The 18,579-nt window shown below is 44.1% G+C and overlaps 1 protein-coding gene across 2 annotated transcripts in view, besides 4 other annotated features; it reads left to right on the plus strand.

Moving 5' to 3' along the window:
- Positions 1 to 295: an enhancer, noted in NCBI's record as "tiled region #5935; HepG2 Activating DNase unmatched - State 1:Tss, and K562 Activating DNase unmatched - State 1:Tss". NCBI's record gives its function as "activates a minimal TATA promoter and a strong SV40 promoter by Sharpr-MPRA in HepG2 and K562 cells {active_cell/tissue: HepG2 | K562}" and the evidence as "EXISTENCE:reporter gene assay evidence [ECO:0000049][PMID:27701403]".
- Positions 48 to 287: an enhancer, noted in NCBI's record as "active region_3956". NCBI's record gives its function as "activates an Ori minimal core promoter by ATAC-STARR-seq in GM12878 lymphoblastoid cells {active_cell/tissue: GM12878}" and the evidence as "EXISTENCE:reporter gene assay evidence [ECO:0000049][PMID:35858748]".
- TAF5 (TATA-box binding protein associated factor 5) overlaps positions 185 to 18,579 on the plus strand; it is a 21,090-nt gene continuing 2,695 nt past the window's right edge. The window contains exons 1-8 of one of the 2 annotated variants that reach the window (NM_006951.5): positions 185 to 757; positions 5,567 to 5,804; positions 10,444 to 10,759; positions 11,817 to 11,980; positions 12,093 to 12,228; positions 13,930 to 14,050; positions 15,447 to 15,576; positions 17,535 to 17,699. In NM_006951.5, the coding sequence (NP_008882.2) occupies positions 199 to 757; positions 5,567 to 5,804; positions 10,444 to 10,759; positions 11,817 to 11,980; positions 12,093 to 12,228; positions 13,930 to 14,050; positions 15,447 to 15,576; positions 17,535 to 17,699 (1,829 nt within the window). In that variant the 5' untranslated portion in view covers positions 185 to 198. The remainder of the gene's footprint in view (positions 758 to 5,566; positions 5,805 to 10,443; positions 10,760 to 11,816; positions 11,981 to 12,092; positions 12,229 to 13,929; positions 14,051 to 15,446; positions 15,577 to 17,534; positions 17,700 to 18,579) is intronic. The other variant, NM_139052.3, reaches the window with a different exon arrangement.
- Positions 418 to 957: a silencer, noted in NCBI's record as "silent region_2779". NCBI's record gives its function as "represses an Ori minimal core promoter by ATAC-STARR-seq in GM12878 lymphoblastoid cells {active_cell/tissue: GM12878}" and the evidence as "EXISTENCE:reporter gene assay evidence [ECO:0000049][PMID:35858748]".
- Positions 1,418 to 1,487: an enhancer, noted in NCBI's record as "active region_3957". NCBI's record gives its function as "activates an Ori minimal core promoter by ATAC-STARR-seq in GM12878 lymphoblastoid cells {active_cell/tissue: GM12878}" and the evidence as "EXISTENCE:reporter gene assay evidence [ECO:0000049][PMID:35858748]".

The following is an 18,579-nucleotide window of genomic DNA, read 5'->3' on the forward strand; positions in this document are numbered from 1 at the left end:
TGGTCACCAATGCCCACTTCCTGCCTTTCTTTCGCTCGGTTTTGAAAGTTGCTCTCTTTCCTATTCCGTTTCTCCTTCCTTTTCGCTCCTCCTACTGCCGTAAATGGCCTACTAGAGTTGTCGTGAAATGCTCCTCCCCGCCCTCCATGTGGCGAAAATGCAATCACGCTTGACGGCGCGAGGTGGCTCAGCCGCAAGATGGCGGCGCTGGCGGAGGAGCAGACGGAGGTGGCGGTCAAGCTAGAGCCTGAGGGACCGCCAACGCTGCTACCTCCGCAGGCGGGGGACGGCGCAGGCGAGGGTAGCGGCGGCACTACCAACAACGGCCCCAACGGCGGCGGCGGGAACGTTGCGGCGTCGTCGTCCACTGGCGGGGATGGCGGGACCCCCAAGCCCACGGTGGCTGTCTCCGCCGCTGCCCCGGCGGGGGCGGCCCCGGTGCCCGCCGCTGCTCCGGACGCCGGCGCTCCGCATGACCGACAGACTCTACTGGCCGTGCTGCAGTTCCTACGGCAGAGCAAACTCCGCGAGGCCGAAGAGGCGCTGCGCCGTGAGGCCGGGCTGCTGGAGGAGGCAGTGGCGGGCTCCGGAGCCCCGGGAGAGGTGGACAGCGCCGGCGCTGAGGTGACCAGCGCGCTTCTCAGCCGGGTGACCGCCTCGGCCCCTGGCCCTGCGGCCCCCGACCCTCCGGGCACTGGCGCTTCGGGGGCCACGGTCGTCTCAGGTTCAGCCTCAGGTCCTGCGGCTCCGGGTAAAGGTGAGCCGTGGGGTCCCGGGTAGGTACGGCCGCCGCGAAGGGGAGCAAGCCGGTAAGGCAGGGGCTGGCAGGCCTGCACCTCTGCGGGCTTGTTTTGAATTTCCTGGGCCCGCCTCTAGGGCCACATGCCCGCCCCTTTCTCTAGTGCGCGGGCTGCGCAGTCAAACCCCCTTCCGAGCTGTCAGTTCCAGTGAGAAGCTGAGGAGAGCTGTTGAGCAGAGGGATGTATGGGGAAGGTGAGCGCGGAGAGGCGGGATCTTCACGCTCTTGGTCCCTTTCCTTTCATTTGGGCTTTTGAGCCTTGGGCAGGTCCGCATGACACTAACAGTGTTTGTACAGTTTCGTACTAGCGTACTTTAAGTACTGTAAGTACTTTATTTTCTCTTTATTTCTTTAGTTCCTCTTAAAAGATGTGTTGATAAATACTTTATAGATTTTTTTTTTTTTTGAGACGGAAACTTGCTCTGTTGCCCAGGTTGGAGTGCAGTGGCGCAATCTTGGCTCACTGCAACCTCCGCCTCCCGGGTTCAAGCAATTCTCCTGCCTCAGCCTCCCGCGTAGGTGGGACTACAGGCTCCTACTGCCACGGCCGGCTAATTTTTGTATTTTTAGTAGAGGCGGGCTTTCACCATGTTGGTCAGGCTGGTCTCGAAATCCTGACCTCAGATGATCCACCTGCCTCGGCCTCCTACAGTGCTGGGATTACAGGCGTGAGACACCGCGCCCGGCCGCCATACAATATACCCTTGTAACAGTCCTGCACATCATGTACCCCCTGAATCTCAGCTAAAAGTTGAATTTTTTTTCTTTTTCTTTTTTTCTTTTTTTGAGACGGAGTCTTGCTCTGTCGCCCAGGCTGGAGTACAGTGGCGTGATCTTAGCTCACTGCAACCTCTGCCTCCCAGATTTAAGCGATTCTCCTGCCTCAGCCTCCCGAATAGGTGGGACTACTGGCACGCGCCACCACGCCCGGCTAATTTTTAAAAATATATTTTTAGTAGAGATGGGGTTTCGCCATATTGGTCAGGCTGGTCTTGAATTCCTGACCTCGTGATGCACCCACCTCTGCGTCCCAAAGTGCTGGGATTACAGGCATGAGCCACCGCACCCGGCTGAAATTTTAAAAATATATATGGGCTGAGTACCACCAGTGTTAAGTCTTTGGAGGATGCAGGTTCCTGGGCATCACTTCAGACTTAGTGAATCAGGTCCTCTAGAGGTGGAATCTGGGAATCTTCACTTTTGAATAAGTGCTTCTAAGGAGTATTGACATATGGCAGCTTGAGAGCCATGTGTTTAGGCATGGGCATTGGACAGACCTTTTTGTCTTTGCTGCATTTACTTGTGTGATGCTGATTGTCATTATTTTTTTAGTTTTTAATTTTTTTTACCTTCGTATTGGCCGGGCGTCGTGGCTCATGCCTGTGAATCTCAGCACTTTGGGAGGCTGAGGCGGGTGGATCACCTGAGGTCAGGAGTTTGAGACCAGGCTGGCCGACATGGCGAAACCCCCTTTCTACTAGAAATACAAAAATTAGCCGGGCGTGGTGGCGCATGCCTGTAATCCCAGCTACTTGGGGGGCTGAGGCAGGAGAATCACTTGACCCCGGGAGGCTGAGGTTGCAGTGAGCCAAGATTGCGCCACTGCACTCCAACCTGGGTGATAGAACGAGACTCTGTCTCAAAAAAAAAATTTTTTTTTTACATTAATATTGTCAGGAGGCAGGTCATTCTCATGTTGAATTTTCTCTCTCTATTAAATGAGTGGTTATGAGGCTTTTTTTTTTTTTTTTTTTTGACTGAGTCTCGCTCTGTCGGCCAGGCTGGAGTGCAGTGGTGTGATCTTGGCTCACTGCAACCTCCGCCTCCCAGGTTCAAGCGATTCTCCTGCCTCAGCCTCCCGAGTAGGTGGGACCACAGGCACGTGCCACCATGCCTGGCTAATTTTTTTTGTATTTTTATTAGAGACGGGGTTTCACCGTGGTAGCCAGGATGGTCTCGATCTCCTGACCTTGTGATCCACCCGCCTTGGTCTCCCAAAGTGCTGGGATTACAGGCGTGAGCCACCGTGCCCGGCCACTTGAGGCACTTATAATATCTATATGTAAAATGTTTGGTATGGATAAGTTTATGCCTCTGTGTATGTACCTGAAACCTGAGCCCCTCCTTTCTCCCAGCAACTGTTGTCACAAATCCATGCAGTAAAACTCATATACCGTATAAGGTATCAAAGGTGATCCTGAGCTAACAATAAATGTTTATTGAATTACCCAGTGCAGAGCTTTTAGCCAAATTAGTCTGTATGAGGCCTAATTTTTGCAGCATTGCCAGAAATGAAGTATTCATACATAGCATTGTATTCATACCTCATTGTAATCCGTAAATAGAAATGTGTGCAGATGTGATTGAAGGCCGGGCTCGGTGGCTCACGCCTGTAGTCCCAGCACTTTGGGAGGCCAAGGCGGGTGGGTCACTTGAGGTCAGGAGATCAAGACCAGCTTGGCCAACATGGTGAAACCCCATCTCTACTAAAAATACAAAAAAATTAGCTGGGCGTGGTGGCATGTGCCTGTTGCCCCAGCTACTCAGGAGGCTGAGGCAGGTGAACCACTTTAACCCAGGCGGCAGAAGTTGCAGTGAGCTGAGATCAAGCCATTGTGCTCTGGCACGGGTGACAGAGCAAAACTCCGTCTTTACAAAAAAAAAAAAAAAGAGAGAGGAATCTTTTTTGAATGTTGAATTTTGTGAATGAACTATAAGATGAATTATATTGTTGGTTATTTTGCTGTAATCTCAGATCTCTTCAGAAACTTGACCTAATTATAGATCATAACTGAGAAATCAGTAAGGAGGAAAAGAGGCCATCAGAGTAACCAAAGAAATTATCACATTTCTGCAGTAAAGAGCAAAGTGTACTATAATGGCAACTTACAGAAATTTCCAACAACCAAATTCTGATTTAATTGACAGATTAATTGACTGATTTAATTGACAGATGTATTGTTAGGTGGTGCTGTATTACCAATAAATACTTACGTTTTCTGTTTTGAAGTGGTGGTTATGGAAATTGTCTTAAGCATATAACTATCTTTTGAAGATATAAATAAGGCATGGTCCTTCCCACCCTTAAGTACTTACATTTTGTAAGGGGTAAGAGATGTATATAATGTGAAGGGAACACAGGATAGGATATGTTACAAGAATGTTACACAGTGCTTGGGTGGCCCAGAGAGCTGGGAATGTTACTGCAGTGCATGGCTTGGTCGTGGTGGGTGCCATTTGCACAGAGCATTGAGAGAAAGTTAATGTAGTTGTTTGATTTGCACATATCTTTTATACAATTTGTCTTTAACATCAGGTAGTTCCAGGAGAAATACTGACTCCTTGTTATTGTTTTTTTTTTTTTTGAGACGGAGTCTTGCTCTGTCACCAGGCTGGAGTGCAGTGGAGCGATCTTGGCTCACTACAACCTCTGCCTCCTGGGTTCAAGTGATTCTCATGCCTTTGCCTCCCGAGTAGCTGGGATTACAGGCACGTCTCATCACACCCAGCTAATTTTTGTATTTTTAGTAGAGACGGGGTTTCACTATGTTGGCCAGGCTGGTCTTGAACTTCTGACCTTGTGATCTGCCCGCCTCAGCCTCTCAAAGTGCTGGGATTACAGGTGTGAGCCACCGTGTTGGCCTGTTATTGTTATCTTAAGATATGGGTGTGCTGATGGGTTTCGGTTTGGGTGATGAAACAAGTGAAAAAAATTCCATTAAAAGATTATGGCTGGGCGCGGTGGCTCGTACTTTTTTTTTTGAGATGGAGTCTTGCTCTGTCGCCCAGGCTGGAGTGCAGTGGCGCGATCTCGGCTCACTGCATCCTCCACCTCCCGAGTTCATGCCATTCTCCTGCCTCAGCCTCCCGAGTAGCTGGGACTACAGGCGCCCACTACCACGCCTGGCTAATTTTTTGTGTTTTTAGTAGAGACGGGGTTTCACTGTGTTAGCCAGGATGGCCTCGATCTCCTGACCTCGTGATCCACCTGTCTCAGCCTCCCAAAGTGCTGGGATTACAGGCGGGAGCCACCGCACCCGGCGGCTCATACTCGTAATCCCAGCACTTTGGGAGGCAGGTGGATCACTTGTGGTCAGGAGTTTGAGACTAGCCTGGTCAACATAGTGAAACCCCGTCTCTACTAAAAATACAAAAATTAGCTGGGCATAGTGGTGCATGCCTGTAATCCCAGCTACTTAGGAGGCTGAGGCAGGAGAATCGCTTGAACCCGAGATGGGGAGGTTGCAGTGAGCCGAGATTGTGCATTGCACTACAGCCTGGGCGACAAGAGTGAAACTCCATCTTAAAAAGAAAAAAAAAAAAGACTACGTGGGCCAGGTGTGGTGCCTCATGCCTGTAATTCCAACACTTTGGGAGGCCGAGGCGGGAGGATCACAAGGTCAAGATATCAAGACCATCCTGGCCAACATGGTGAAACCCTGTCTCTACTGAAAATATGAAAATTAGCTGGGCATGGTGGCACACGCTTGTAGTCCCAGCTACTTGGGAGGCCGAGGCAAGACACTCGCCTGCGAGGTGGAGGTTGCAGTGAGCCGAGATCTCCCCACCGCCCTCCAGCCTGGCGACAGAGCCAGACTCCCTCTCAAAAAAAAAAAAAAAAGATTATGTGATTGTGTTGAGGAAGAGACAGTGGGAAGAAAGAGACAACAGTCTGAGAAACAACTCACCTGTGGGCTTTAACAATACAGCCATAGTCACATGGTCATAATAGGTCATTTTCTTAAAAGTTTTTTGTTTTTTAAATAGTTGGAAGTGTTGCTGTGGAAGACCAGCCAGATGTCAGTGCCGTGTTGTCAGCCTACAACCAACAAGGAGATCCCACAATGTATGAAGAATACTATAGTGGACTGAAACACTTCATTGAATGTTCCCTGGACTGCCATCGGGCAGAGTTGTCCCAACTTTTTTATCCTCTGTTTGTGCACATGTACTTGGAGCTAGTCTACAATCAACATGAGAATGAAGCAAAGTCATTCTTTGAGAAGTATGTAAATTTTTACATATATATATATACACACATACGTAGTGTGTGTGTGTGCGTGCATATGTTTTCACATCTGTAACCACAAAAATGTAAGACTGCAACTTAAAAAGTACGTTGTGAAGGAGAGGTACCTGAGGCTATGAGAACTTAAAATGTGGGGTTTGATCTAGCTGGAGAAGTCAGAGAAGGCTTCCAGAGGAAATGATACTTGAAGTGAGATTTGAGATCTGAAGATTAGGTAGGAGTTAACCAGATGAAGAGAAGAGGGAAAAGCATGTGTAAAAGCTCTCTGGTGGGAAGGATCCTGGTAGGTACAGAGGCTGAAAGATGGCCAGGGTAGCTGGAGCAGAGAATGGGATGGGGGTGTGGTATACTATGAAGCTGGGAATTGGTTAGGGACTGGAACAGTAGGCAGGTTCTATTGTTAAAGTGAAGGCATTGAAAAAAAAGGATAGGCAGGTTTTTGGGCCATGTTGAGGGTCTTTGTTTATCCTAAGAGCAGTAGGGAGTTGTATTGGATAGGATTAGATTTGGTTGAGAGTCACTGAAAACTCATCAACAATGGCATAAATAAAAGTTTATTTTTGCCTTTATCTTAAGAAAACTAGGAAGCAGTGTTAGGATTCGATTAGAATAAGAGTAACTGAGAACCCAAACAACAGAGGTTTAAATACAATAAAAGTTTGTTTATTTTTCTCGTAAATGTGGGACATTCGGGATTGGTGTGGTGGGTTCTTCATTACCAGGGCCCCAAGCTCCCTCGGTCTTGTTGCTCTCTCATGCTTTTCATGCAATTTCCACCTTGTGGCATAAGATGGTTTTCCTGCTCTAAGCAGTCACATCAGTGTGCCAGTCAGCAGGTAGGGCACACGGAAACTGCACACACTTCTTCCTTTTATATCTTAACAGTCAGTGGCCACACCTAGCTACAAGGGAAATAAGAAATGTAGTCTTTACCTAAGTGTCTATGTGCCCAGCTGATATTCAGGTTTTCTTTTATGGAGGAAGACAGGAAAAATGGATATTTGGGGAGAGCGAAGCCTTTTTGCTACAGAGTCATTTCTGCTACAGAGTCATTAAAGGACCATGTCGTTATTAGATATATACTTTGAAAGGACCTTTATGCAGTGGGGAAAACAAATGGGGGATAGAATGACTATAGGGACAAGTTTTGGAAGTTATTGCAGTGGTTCTCAACTGGAGGTGGAATTGCTCCTTCCACTAGACCATTTGAAAATGTGTAGAGGTGGCCCGGCGCTGCGGCTCACGCCTTTAATCCCAGCACTTTGGGAGGCTGAGGCGGGTGGATCACTTTGACCTCAGGAGTTTGAGACCAGCCTGGTGAGACCTAGTCTCTTCAAAAAAATGCAAAAATTAGCTGGGTGTGGTAGCTCACTCCTGTAATCCCAGCTATTTGGGAGGCTGAGGCTGGAGAATCGCTTGAACCTGGGAGATAGAGGTTGCAGTGAGCTGAGATTGCATCTCTGCACTCTAGCCTAGATGACAAGAGTGAGACCCTGTCTCAAAAAAAAAAAAAAAAAAAAAGAAAATGTGTGGAGGCATTTTTGGTTGTCATAATGACTGGGCGGAGGAGCAGGAATACTAAATGTTCTAATATGTGCACCTAGGTAGTCCCACTTTACAAAGAATTATCCTGCCCAAAATGTTAATAGCACCCTTATTGAGAAGCACTGGACTAGGTTGTGGTGGAGGTGAAGAGAAGTAGACAAAGTCATGAGACACTTGATAGATTGGCTAGGGAGGTGAGGGAGATGGAGATATCATTGAAATCTCCAGTTTTCTGGCCGTTCTAGCTGGATAGGGGAGCCAATTCCTGACACAGAAAACCCTAGAAGAGGACTTGATTTGTCAGCCTTGGAATAATTTTGAGTTCTGATTTGAATATGCCTTTGACTCATTTAAGAAATGTCAAGTTGATAGGTAGATGATATATGAGAGCTCAGAACAGAGGTAGGGACTAGAACTATTAATTGGAGTTGTGTGCAATATTGATGGATATGGATGAGGTTGACTAGGGGAGAGTATGAAATAAGTCAGTCAGTGGGCTAGGCCCAAGGAGCTCCAAATTTAATGGCCAAGTAGAAGAGATACACAGGAAGAAAACCAGGGGAGGGCTGAGTTATAGAAGCCAAGGGAAAGGAGTATTTAAGAAGGAGGCAGGCTGGGTGTGGTAGCTCATGCCTGTAATCCCAGCACTTTGGGAGGCTGAGGTGGGCAGATCACCTGAGGTCAGGAGTTTGAGACCAGCCTGGCCAACATAACAAAACCCTGTCTCTACTAAAAATACAAAAATTAGCCGGGCGTGGTGGCAGACACTTGTAATCCCAGCTGCTTGGGAGGCCGAGGCAGGAGAATCACTTGAATCTGGGAGGCAGAGGTTGCAGTGAGCTGAGATTGCGCCATTACACTCCAGCCTTGGCGAAGAGTGAAAGTCTATCTCAAAAAAAAAAAAAGGAGGCCGTGCTTAGCAGTGTGAATAATTTTTTTTTTTTGAGATGGAGTTTTGCTCTTGTCACCCAGGCTGGCATGCAGTGGCGCCATCTCGGCTCACTGCAACCTCCGCCTCCTAGGTTCAAGCAATTCTCCTGCCTCAGCCTCCCAAGTAGCTGGGATTACAGGCATGCATCACCATGCCTGGCTAATTTTGTATTTTTAGTAGAGACAGGGTTTCTTCATGTTGGTCAGGCTGGTCTTGAACTCCCGACCTCAGGTGATCTGCCCACCTTGGCCTTCCAAAGTGCTGGGATTACAGGTGTGAGACACTGGGCCTGGCCTGAATGAGAAATGTTTAATACAAGCAACAGAGCCTGAAGTCAAGATTTATCACTTAACACAGGGTAGTAGTAATAGAGGAACAGTAGAACTTAGCACCCCTGGCTTCTATGCCATTATAGTAAATTCATTATATTAGGATGCCTAATAGGAAGTATATAAGGCAAAATGTTCTGTAGCCAAGTGCTTTTGAAAAAAAAAAAAATAAGAAAGGCTGATGACAGAACTTCTACCCTAGAAGCTAATTTCTCTTTAAAGTACTGTCATCTAAACACTCCATCCTTGGCAACATAGATACTGTCACTTAAAAAAACAAAAACATAGCCTGGGCAAAAGAACGAGATCCTGCTTCTACAAAAAGTAAACAAAAATTGAGCCGGGCATGGTGGCTCATGCCTGTAATCCCACACTTTGAGAAGCCAAGGCGGGCAGAATGCCTGAGCTCAGGAGTTCGAGACCATCCTGGCCAACATGGTGAAACCCCATCTCTACTCAAATACAAAAGATTAGCCAGCCATGGTGGCACGTGCCTGTAGTCCCAGCTGCTCAGGAGGCTGAAGCATGAGAATTGCTTGAGCCCTGGAGGTGGAGGTTGCAGCGAGCTGAGATCGCGTAAACAAAAATTAGTGGAGTATGGTGGCACAGCAGTCCTAGCTACTCGGGAGACTGAGGCAAGAGGAATCCCTGAACCCAGGAGTTTCAGGCTGCATTGAACCACTGCACTCCAGCTTAGGCTTCAGAGCAAGAACCTGTCTCTAAAAAAGAAGGAAAAACCTTTTTGCTCTTCCTGTCTCATGGTGTAGCTGTCTCCCCACATAGGAAGCTGGAACGTCATAGGGGATTCTCTGTCTTCCCATTATGGACAGTCTCACCCCTTGCCAGGACCCCATCACCACAGGAGGATAATGGGCAGTTACTGATATAAGAGGCTGAGATTTCTAATTTTATTCAAATCTTAGATCATATATTGATGAGTTGTAATGGGGTAACATAGTTAACAGTTTAGAAATCTGTTGACTATGTGCTTATCAGAGCTGGAGCCCTAATATGTTTAGTCATTGTTTTAAAAATGTTTTTGCATTGATTGCTGTTTTTAGTGAATGCCAAATATATTGTCTTTAATTTTATTTTCTTAGGAAAATTAAGCGTTGTAAAAACAAAAGTACATTTAAGTTTACTAGTTGTTATCAAGGCTAAAGGCTTTATTTTATTGTCTTTGGTAATAGTTGTTGATACCAAACAATGAGTACTTCCACTTTGTTGTTTAGTGATCATATTAAAGTATTGATATTTTAAAAATGTCTGGTACATGTTTCCAATAAATATAGGAAATCATTAAAAATGATGGGTTTTATGAGAATGTTATATATTGATTATTGTTGAGATGCTGAGTACTGTGTACATTGAGTTCATTATACTCTTTTTTATGCCTTTGAAATTTTCATAATAAAACTTTTAAAAGTGGGTTTTGAGAAACCATAACATTTAGTAAAGCAAGGGTTCTTATATTTTCAAATGTCTACCAGTTTCTTTTAAATGTCTCCATTCTAAAGAAACTGTCTACCAATGGTGGGTATATTATTTTTCACTTAGGATATTTAAGTTCTTTTCTTAAAATGTTTGTGATACATTTCATTAGAGAATTACATTTGTTCATTTTTAGAATAAATTCAGAAACTGAATTATAGTCATTTTGAAATGAGTTACTTCTTATCCTACAGCTTAGTTCAGGATTATTTAGACTACTACATTGAAAATATTCTGGGATGGTTTATAAGTATATGGGGGAAAGGCAGATCCCTTAATGATTACATTGAAAAATGACTTTTTAAAATCACTGAAACAGGTTCCATGGAGATCAGGAATGTTATTACCAGGATGACCTACGAGTATTATCTAGTCTTACCAAAAAGGAACACATGAAAGGGAATGAGACCATGTTGGATTTTCGAACAAGTAAATTTGTTCTGCGTATTTCCCGTGACTCGTACCAACTCTTGAAGAGGCATCTTCAGGAGAAACAGAACAATCAGATATGGAACATAGTTCAGGAGCACCTCTACATTGACATCTTTGATGGGATGCCGCGTAGTAAGCAACAGATAGATGCGATGGTGGGAAGTTTGGCAGGAGAGGCTAAACGAGAGGCAAACAAATCAAAGGTATGGGAATGAACCTAAGAACTCTATAATGCAGATTATGAAAAATTGTAGCATTTCCATCTACATAAGTTACACATTTTTCTTATAGCTAGCTTGGAAACAATTTTTTTCGTTTGTTTGTTTTGAGACGGAGTTTTGCTCTTGTCACCCAAGCTGGAGTGCAGTGGCGTGATCTCAGCTCACTGCAACCTCCACCTCCTGGGTTCAAGTGATTCTCCTGCCTCAGCTTCCCGAGTAGCTGGGATTAGAGGCACACGCCACCAACCTGGCTAATTTTTGTATTTACTTTAGTAGAGACAGGGTTTCACCATGTTGGCCAGGCTGGTCTCGAACTCCTGACCTCAGATGATCCACCCGACTCCGCCTCCCAAAGTGCTGGCATAACAGGCGTGAGCTACTGCGCCTGGCCGCTTGGAAACAATTTTATACTGTATATAAAATTTTGTGTTCTAAGGGTGATGTTTATATGTGACAATTTGGGTATGGTTGCATTTTATGGAACCCTGAATGCAGTGGCTGAAACAAAGAATTTTTCTCCCATAAAATGAATTTCAGAGGAAGGCCTTCCAGGGCTGGCATGAAGGCTCCACAGTGCCATCAAGGTCCCTGGCTCCTTCTGGTTTCTGATCCACCATCTTCAGAATGTGGCTTTCCTCTTTGTGCTCACAAATGGCTGTTGCAGTTTCAGCATTGCAGCTCCGTTCCAAGAAGGAAGAAGGGGGAGGACAAAAGGCATATCTCTGCTGAAGCTTTCCCTTTTTAATCAGGAAAACAATATTTTTTTGATACAACCATACCCAGTATACTTATATGGACATTCCTAGCTGAAAGGGAGCCTGGGAACAGAAATGATTTAACTGAGCACATTGCTACTCCAATAAAATCAGGGTTCTGTTAGTAAGGAAAAAGGGGAGAATGGCTATTGGGTAGACAAATACAGAACCCTGCTTCAGAGTGTAAATTACTATTTTGTAATTGTGATTTATCCTATCAAGATGTAAAATGGGTATATTAATGAATAAATAATTTTAAAAATGTTGGCTCTTTTGACTTGTAGGTATTTTTTGGTTTATTAAAAGAACCAGAAATTGAGGTACCTTTGGATGACGAGGATGAAGAGGGAGAAAATGAAGAAGGAAAACCTAAAAAGAAGAAGCCTAAAAAAGATAGTATTGGATCCAAAAGCAAAAAACAAGATCCCAATGCTCCACCTCAGAACAGGTGAGGAAAAAACTTCAGGAACTTGTGTGTGGAGGTATAAGACAACATGTTATATAGAGTTCAAGTTTGTTAATAGTCAAAAGGTAATTTTGACTCTCTTTTTCTTTCACAGAATCCCTCTTCCTGAGTTGAAAGATTCAGATAAGTTGGATAAGATAATGAATATGAAAGAAACCACCAAACGAGTGCGCCTTGGGCCGGACTGCTTACCCTCCATTTGTTTCTATACATTTCTCAATGCTTACCAGGTTGGTAAAAAAATTGGGCGATTTCTGCCTGGAGAGTCATGTAGGATGATGATTTACCATTAAGAGAGAAACAAATGTATTAGCTAAAATGGAGTTTCGTTATTTAAACTCCTTTTTTTTTTTTTTCTGAGACAGAGTCTCGCTCTGTCGCCCAGCTGGAGTGCAGTGGCGCGATCTCAGCTCACTGCAATGTCCGCCTCCCAGGTTCATGCCATTCTTCTGCCTCAGCTTCCCCAGCAGCTGGGACTACAGGCGCATACCGCCATGCCCGGCTAATTTTTTGTATTTTTAGTAGAGATGGGGTTTCACCGTGTTAGCCAGGATGGTCTCGATCTCCTGACCTTGTGATCCGCCTGCCTCAGCCTCCCAAAGTGCTGGGATTACAGGCATGAGCCACCGCATGTGGCCCCTAAACTCTTATACAATTTAAAGACAGCATTCAGGAAGAGAGAATTGGATACTGCACAGAATAGATAGAAGTCAATGTTTAATGGCATTTGTTTCACCGATCAGAATTCTGCTAGCCTTTGAGGAGGAGCAAATTGTAGTTCATTTCTGTTGAACTTGGTTTAAGTACTTACGTAAACTTATTTATCAATTTTTTTTTTTTTTTGAGACAGAGTTTTGTGCTGTCACCTAGGGTGGAGTGCAGAGGTGAGATCTCAGCTCACTGCAACCTCTGCCTCCCGGGTTCAAACGATTCTTGTGCCTCAGCCTCGGCCTCCTGAATAGCTGGGATTACAGGCACCCTCCACCATGCCTGGCTAATTTTTGTATTTTTAGTAGAGACAGGATTTTGCCGTGTTGCCCAGGCTGGTCTTGAACTCCTGACCTCAAGTGATCTGGCCGCCTCAGCCTCCCAAAGTGCTGGGATTACAGGCGTGAGCCACCGTGCCCAGCCATATAAACCTTATTTTATTTTATTATTTTAATTTAATTTCATTTTTTGAGATGGAGTCTTGCTCTGACACCTAGGCTGGAGTGCGGTGGTGCAATTTTGGCTCACTGCAACCTCCGCCTCCCAGTTCAAGTGATTCTCCTGCCTCAGCCTCCTGAGTAGCTGGGATTATAGGCATGAGCCACCACGCCCAGCTAATTTTTGTATTTTCAGTAGAGAAGGGGTTTCACCAGGTTGACCAGGCTGGACTTGAATTCCTGAGCTCAGGCAATCCACCCGCCTCAGCCTCCTAAAGTGCTGTGATAACAGGCATGAACCCCCGCGCCCGGCCAAACTTAGTATTTTATTTTATTATTATTTTTTTTTTGAGATGGAGTCTCACTCTGTCGCCCAGGCTGGAGTGCAGTGGCACGATTTTGGCTCACTGCAACCTCTGCCTCCTGGGTTCAAGTGATTCTCTTGCGTCAGCCTCACAAGTAGATGGGATTACAGGTGCCCACCACCCTGCTTGGCTAATTTTGGTATTTTTAGTAGAGATGGGGTTTCACCATGTTGGCCAGGCTGGTCTTGAACTCCTAACCTCAGGTGATCCACCTGTCTCAGCCTCCCAAATTGTTGGGATTACAGGCATGAGCCAGTGCGCTTGGCCAATATTTTAAATCAAGAATTTTAAAAGTCTTTATATATTCCTTAAAATAGAGGATTGAGGAGATATTTAGTATAGTGTGAAAATGATTAACATTTGCTTCCTATCTCTAAATATCCTAAAATAGTATTGTTTAGTCTAACCCTTTTATTGGCAGGGTCTCACTGCAGTGGATGTCACTGATGATTCTAGTCTGATTGCTGGAGGTTTTGCAGATTCAACTGTCAGAGTGTGGTCGGTAACACCCAAAAAGCTTCGTAGTGTCAAACAAGCATCAGGTAACTGAGATGACCTTTTGGAATGTGAACTTGCCATTAGTCTATACCAATCTTGATTCCATGGAAAATACACAGGAGATTGTGTTCTTTACAGAAATTCACTTGATTTTACTTTAACTCAAGATTCTAACATTCCCAACAGTGAAAAAAGCTTTGGAGTGACTGGGGTGCTAGACTGGTTTAATTTCTTTAGGTCTCAGTTTTCTCATCTGTAGAATGAGTGAGTATTAAGCTAAAAAACTTAAAGTTAAAAATCTAACATTTTATGATTGCTTGTAAATCTTAAAAAATCTTTAAATAAGGGATGGTACTTCCTGTTTTAGTCATAAAAATGGCTAAAAAGAACAAATAAGGTCAGGATTTTATTTGAAAGTTTTTTACTTTTTGTTTTTTTGAGACAGAGTCTCGCCCTGTCACCCAGGCTAGAGTGCAATGGCGCAGTCTTGGCTCACTACAGCCTCTACCTCCCAGGTTCAAGGGATTTTCTTGTGTCAGCTCCCCAGCTCCCCAGTAGCTGGGATTACAGGTGCCCACCACCATGCCCAGGTAATTTTTGTATTTTTAGTAGAGATAGGGTTTCGCCATGTTGGCCAGGCTGGTCTCGAACTCCTGACCTCAAGTGATCCGCCTGTCTGGCCTCCCAAAGTGCTGGAATTATAGGTGGCTCACTGCAACCTCCACCTCCCTGGTTCAAGCGATTTTCCTGCCTCCACACCCGGCCTGAAATAAAGTTTTTTACTAACTATATTATTTAAATAAAACAATATATTTTAAATTATTTCAATATTTCCATAGGTTTTTTTTTTTTAATTTTAAATTTTTTTTAGATGGGGTCTCACTCTGTTGCCCAGGCTAGAATGCAGTGGTGTGATCACGGCTCACTGCAGCCTCTAATCCCTGGGCTGAAGTGATCCTCCCACTTCAGCCTCCTGAGTAGCTGAGACTACAGGTGTGTGCAACCACACTGGCTAATTTTTTATTTTTTGTAGAGACAGGGTTTCTCCATGTTGTCCAGGCTGGTCTCGAACTCCTCTGGGCTCAAGCAATCTGCCCGCCTTGGCCTACCAAAATTCTGAGACTACAGGTGTGAGCCACCATGCCTGGCCCATAGTTTTCATTTTGTGAAACACTGTGGCATAGTGGGCAAAACTGAGTTTCAGTTCTGGTTCCCACACTGAGTAGCTGTGTGCACTCTAGCAAATTATCTGTTCTGAACGTCATTTTCTTCTCTTACACGCTGAGATGATACTGCCTAATTTAGAGGGATTAGCAAAGTGCGGTTGGTATATAGGAGGAAATTTTCAAATGTTAATTCCTCTCCTGCACTGTGATATGATTACTTTAAAAGTTTTGATGAATGTACTTATAAAATATCAATATTTCTGGACCATTTTAGATCTTAGTCTTATAGACAAAGAATCAGATGATGTCTTAGAAAGAATCATGGATGAGAAAACAGCAAGTGAGTTGAAGATTTTGTATGGTCACAGTGGGCCTGTCTACGGAGCCAGCTTCAGTCCGGATAGGTAAAATACAAACAATAAAAATTAAATACTGCTATGTTATATTGAAATTATATAAAAGTTAACTACTGGAAACATTATGCAAATGCTGGGAAAATTCTGATAAAAATCTCATGGTTGTCTGACGTTCATCATCTTTTAGAATCTTGCCATTTGCTAATTCATCTTTGAATCCTGGTGTTTGTACATGGTAGCAATTTAATGTATACTCACTTTTTTTTTTTTTTTTTTGAGACAGAGTTTCGCTCTTGTTGCCCAGGTTGGAGTGCAATGGCGTGATCTTGGCTTACCGCAACCTCCGCCTCCTGGGTTCAAGCGATTCTCCTGGCTCAGCCTCCTGAGTAGCTGGGATTACAGGCATGCGCCACCACACCTGGCTAATTTTATTTTTTTATTAGAGATGGGGTTTCTCCATGTTGGTCAGGCTGGTCTTGAACTCTCAACCTCAGGTGATCTGCCCACCTCAGCCTCCCAAAGTGCTGGGATTACAGGCGTGAGCCACTGTGCCTGGCCTGTATACTCAAATTTATAGAATCAAAATGCACAGTTTCAGGGCTTACTGGTTTTAAAAATTAGCTTTAGTATTTCCCTTTTTTTTTTTTAATTATTTTTATTTGTTACCCAATGGTAAATAACCAACCAAAGCTTTAGTTTTATAGAACTCCATTAGGGGTTGAATTGCTTCATTGGGTCCCTGCATTGTGTCTTCTGGCTGCTTCATCAAATTTAAGACAAATTCCTGACATTAATGGCATATTAGCTAGTAATTGAGGATTAATCTTTCTATAATCAAAAGTACTAAGAGTAAATGAAAAAGGAAATTCAAAATTGGTTTGCTTCCCTTTAGGTGTATGATTACAATGTCATCCTATGTGTATAGGTATTTGCCTATTTTTCATGATCTCTAACACTGTAAAAATGGGTGGAGGGTGTTTTGTATTCATAATACCATCAGTATATTACTTGGATAGATAATAGCTTTCAGGCCGGGCACAGTGGCTCACGCCTATAATCCCAGCACTTTGGGAGTCCAAGACAGGCGCATCACCTGAGATCAGGAGTTTGAGACCAGCCTGGCCAACATGGGAAATCCTGTCTCCACTAAAAAGTACAAAAATTAGCAGGGTGTGGTGGCGCCCACCTGTAATCCTGGCTACTTGGGAGGCCGAGGCAGGAAAGTCACTTGAACATGGGAGGCAGAGGTTGCAATGAGCCGAGATTGCACCACTGCACTCCAGCCTGGGTGATAAGAGCAAAACTCCATCTCAAAAAAAGAAGAAAAGAAAAAAAGATAATAGCTTTCCATCCATCAAGGTTTCATCATTACGAAACTTTGAGAATTAGGTTTTTTGTTGCTTGATAAGGTTTTGCCAGATGATACATTTTTGAGGGAAACGTCTGATTTCAGTGAAAATTGTAATAACCTTCTGACTATCAATCTTTTGTGTTTATGCTTGAAAAAGGTAGAGAATTATTAGCATGTCTGTAGTTTTTTTTTCTTTTTCTTCAAAAGACATTTCCTTTTTAATTCTTACATAGCTTACACAGCATGGGAAAATAGCATCTTTATTTTAGGGTCAAAAATTGTTGAGTTTTAAGTGACATATCACATTTCTTAAACTTTCTCAATTGACCTTATTTGACTATACTTTGTTAATTACCCCTGCTATTTTTTTCTTGTAAAGAACTCTGATTTTCCCTAAGTTTTTGTATCATATTACCTCATTCAGTAGGTGCTCGGTATATGTAGAGTGTCAGGGTTAACATTAGTTTGGTTAGTTCTTTCAATTGATACCTACTGTGAATTGCGTGTATGAATTAAAAGTGAGATGCAGCATGTTAGGTATATTTAATATAGTCAAATATATATAAAATATTAAATGTATTCAAATGTATATAAAACTGGGCAGGTGACCAAAGGTTACTCTGGGAGTCAAATATATCACCTTCTCTTCTCTCAGGAACTATCTGCTTTCCTCTTCAGAGGACGGAACTGTTAGATTGTGGAGCCTTCAAACATTTACTTGTTTGGTGGGATATAAAGGACACAACTATCCAGTATGGGACACACAATTTTCTCCATATGGATATTATTTTGTGTCAGGGGGCCATGACCGAGTAGCTCGGTAAGAACACTGTGATCTTATGACTGGGTCTATTCAATGAACAGAATGGTTTCTTGTTGGGAATTACACAGCCAGCCAAATTCATTTACACTTCCATTATTGAGGTTCAACTTTCTGAGAAGCTTTTGCATTTATAACTTATTTGAAATTGGGGCCGGGCGCAGTGGCTTATGCCTGTAATCCCAGCACTTTGGGAGGCCGAGGTGGATGGATCACCTGAGGTCAAGAGTTTGAGACCAGCCTGGCCAACATGGTGGAACCCCGTCTCTACTAAAAATACAAAAATTAGCCGGGCGTGGTGGTAGGCACCTGTAATCCCAGCTATTCAGGAGGCTGAGGCAGGAGAATCATTTGAACCTGAGAGGCGGAGGTTGCAGTGAGCCGAGATCGCACCATTGCACTCCAGCCTAGGGGACAAGAGCGAGACTTCATCTCAAAAAAAAAAAAAAAAAAAAAAAAAAGAAAAGAAATTGGGGCAGGAGTATTATTATATCTGCAATTACATCTATATGAATCCTGGTTTTTAAAAAATAGTTAATTAACAATCCTCCCTCCCAACCCCATCAGATACTTAACCTTGTCTTCCATACCACTGTGAGCACCTTTATGTTTCTCTGTCATCTGCTTAGAAGTTGAGGATAAGGTAGTTCAGGTTAGAAACTATTTGGCCAGGTGCAGTGGCTCACGCCTGTAATCCCAGCACTTTGGGAGGCCAAGGAGGGCAGATAACTTGAGGCCAGAAGTTCCAGACCAGCCTGGCCAACATGACGAAACCCCGTCTCTACTGAAAAAAAAAACAAAAATTAGCCGGGTGTGGTGGCACGTGCCTGTAGTCCCAGCTACTCAGGAGGCTGAGGCAGAATTGCTTGAACCCAGGAGG

This window comes from Homo sapiens, chromosome 10, assembly GCF_000001405.40.
Source record: "Homo sapiens chromosome 10, GRCh38.p14 Primary Assembly".
NCBI lineage: Eukaryota > Metazoa > Chordata > Mammalia > Primates > Hominidae > Homo > Homo sapiens.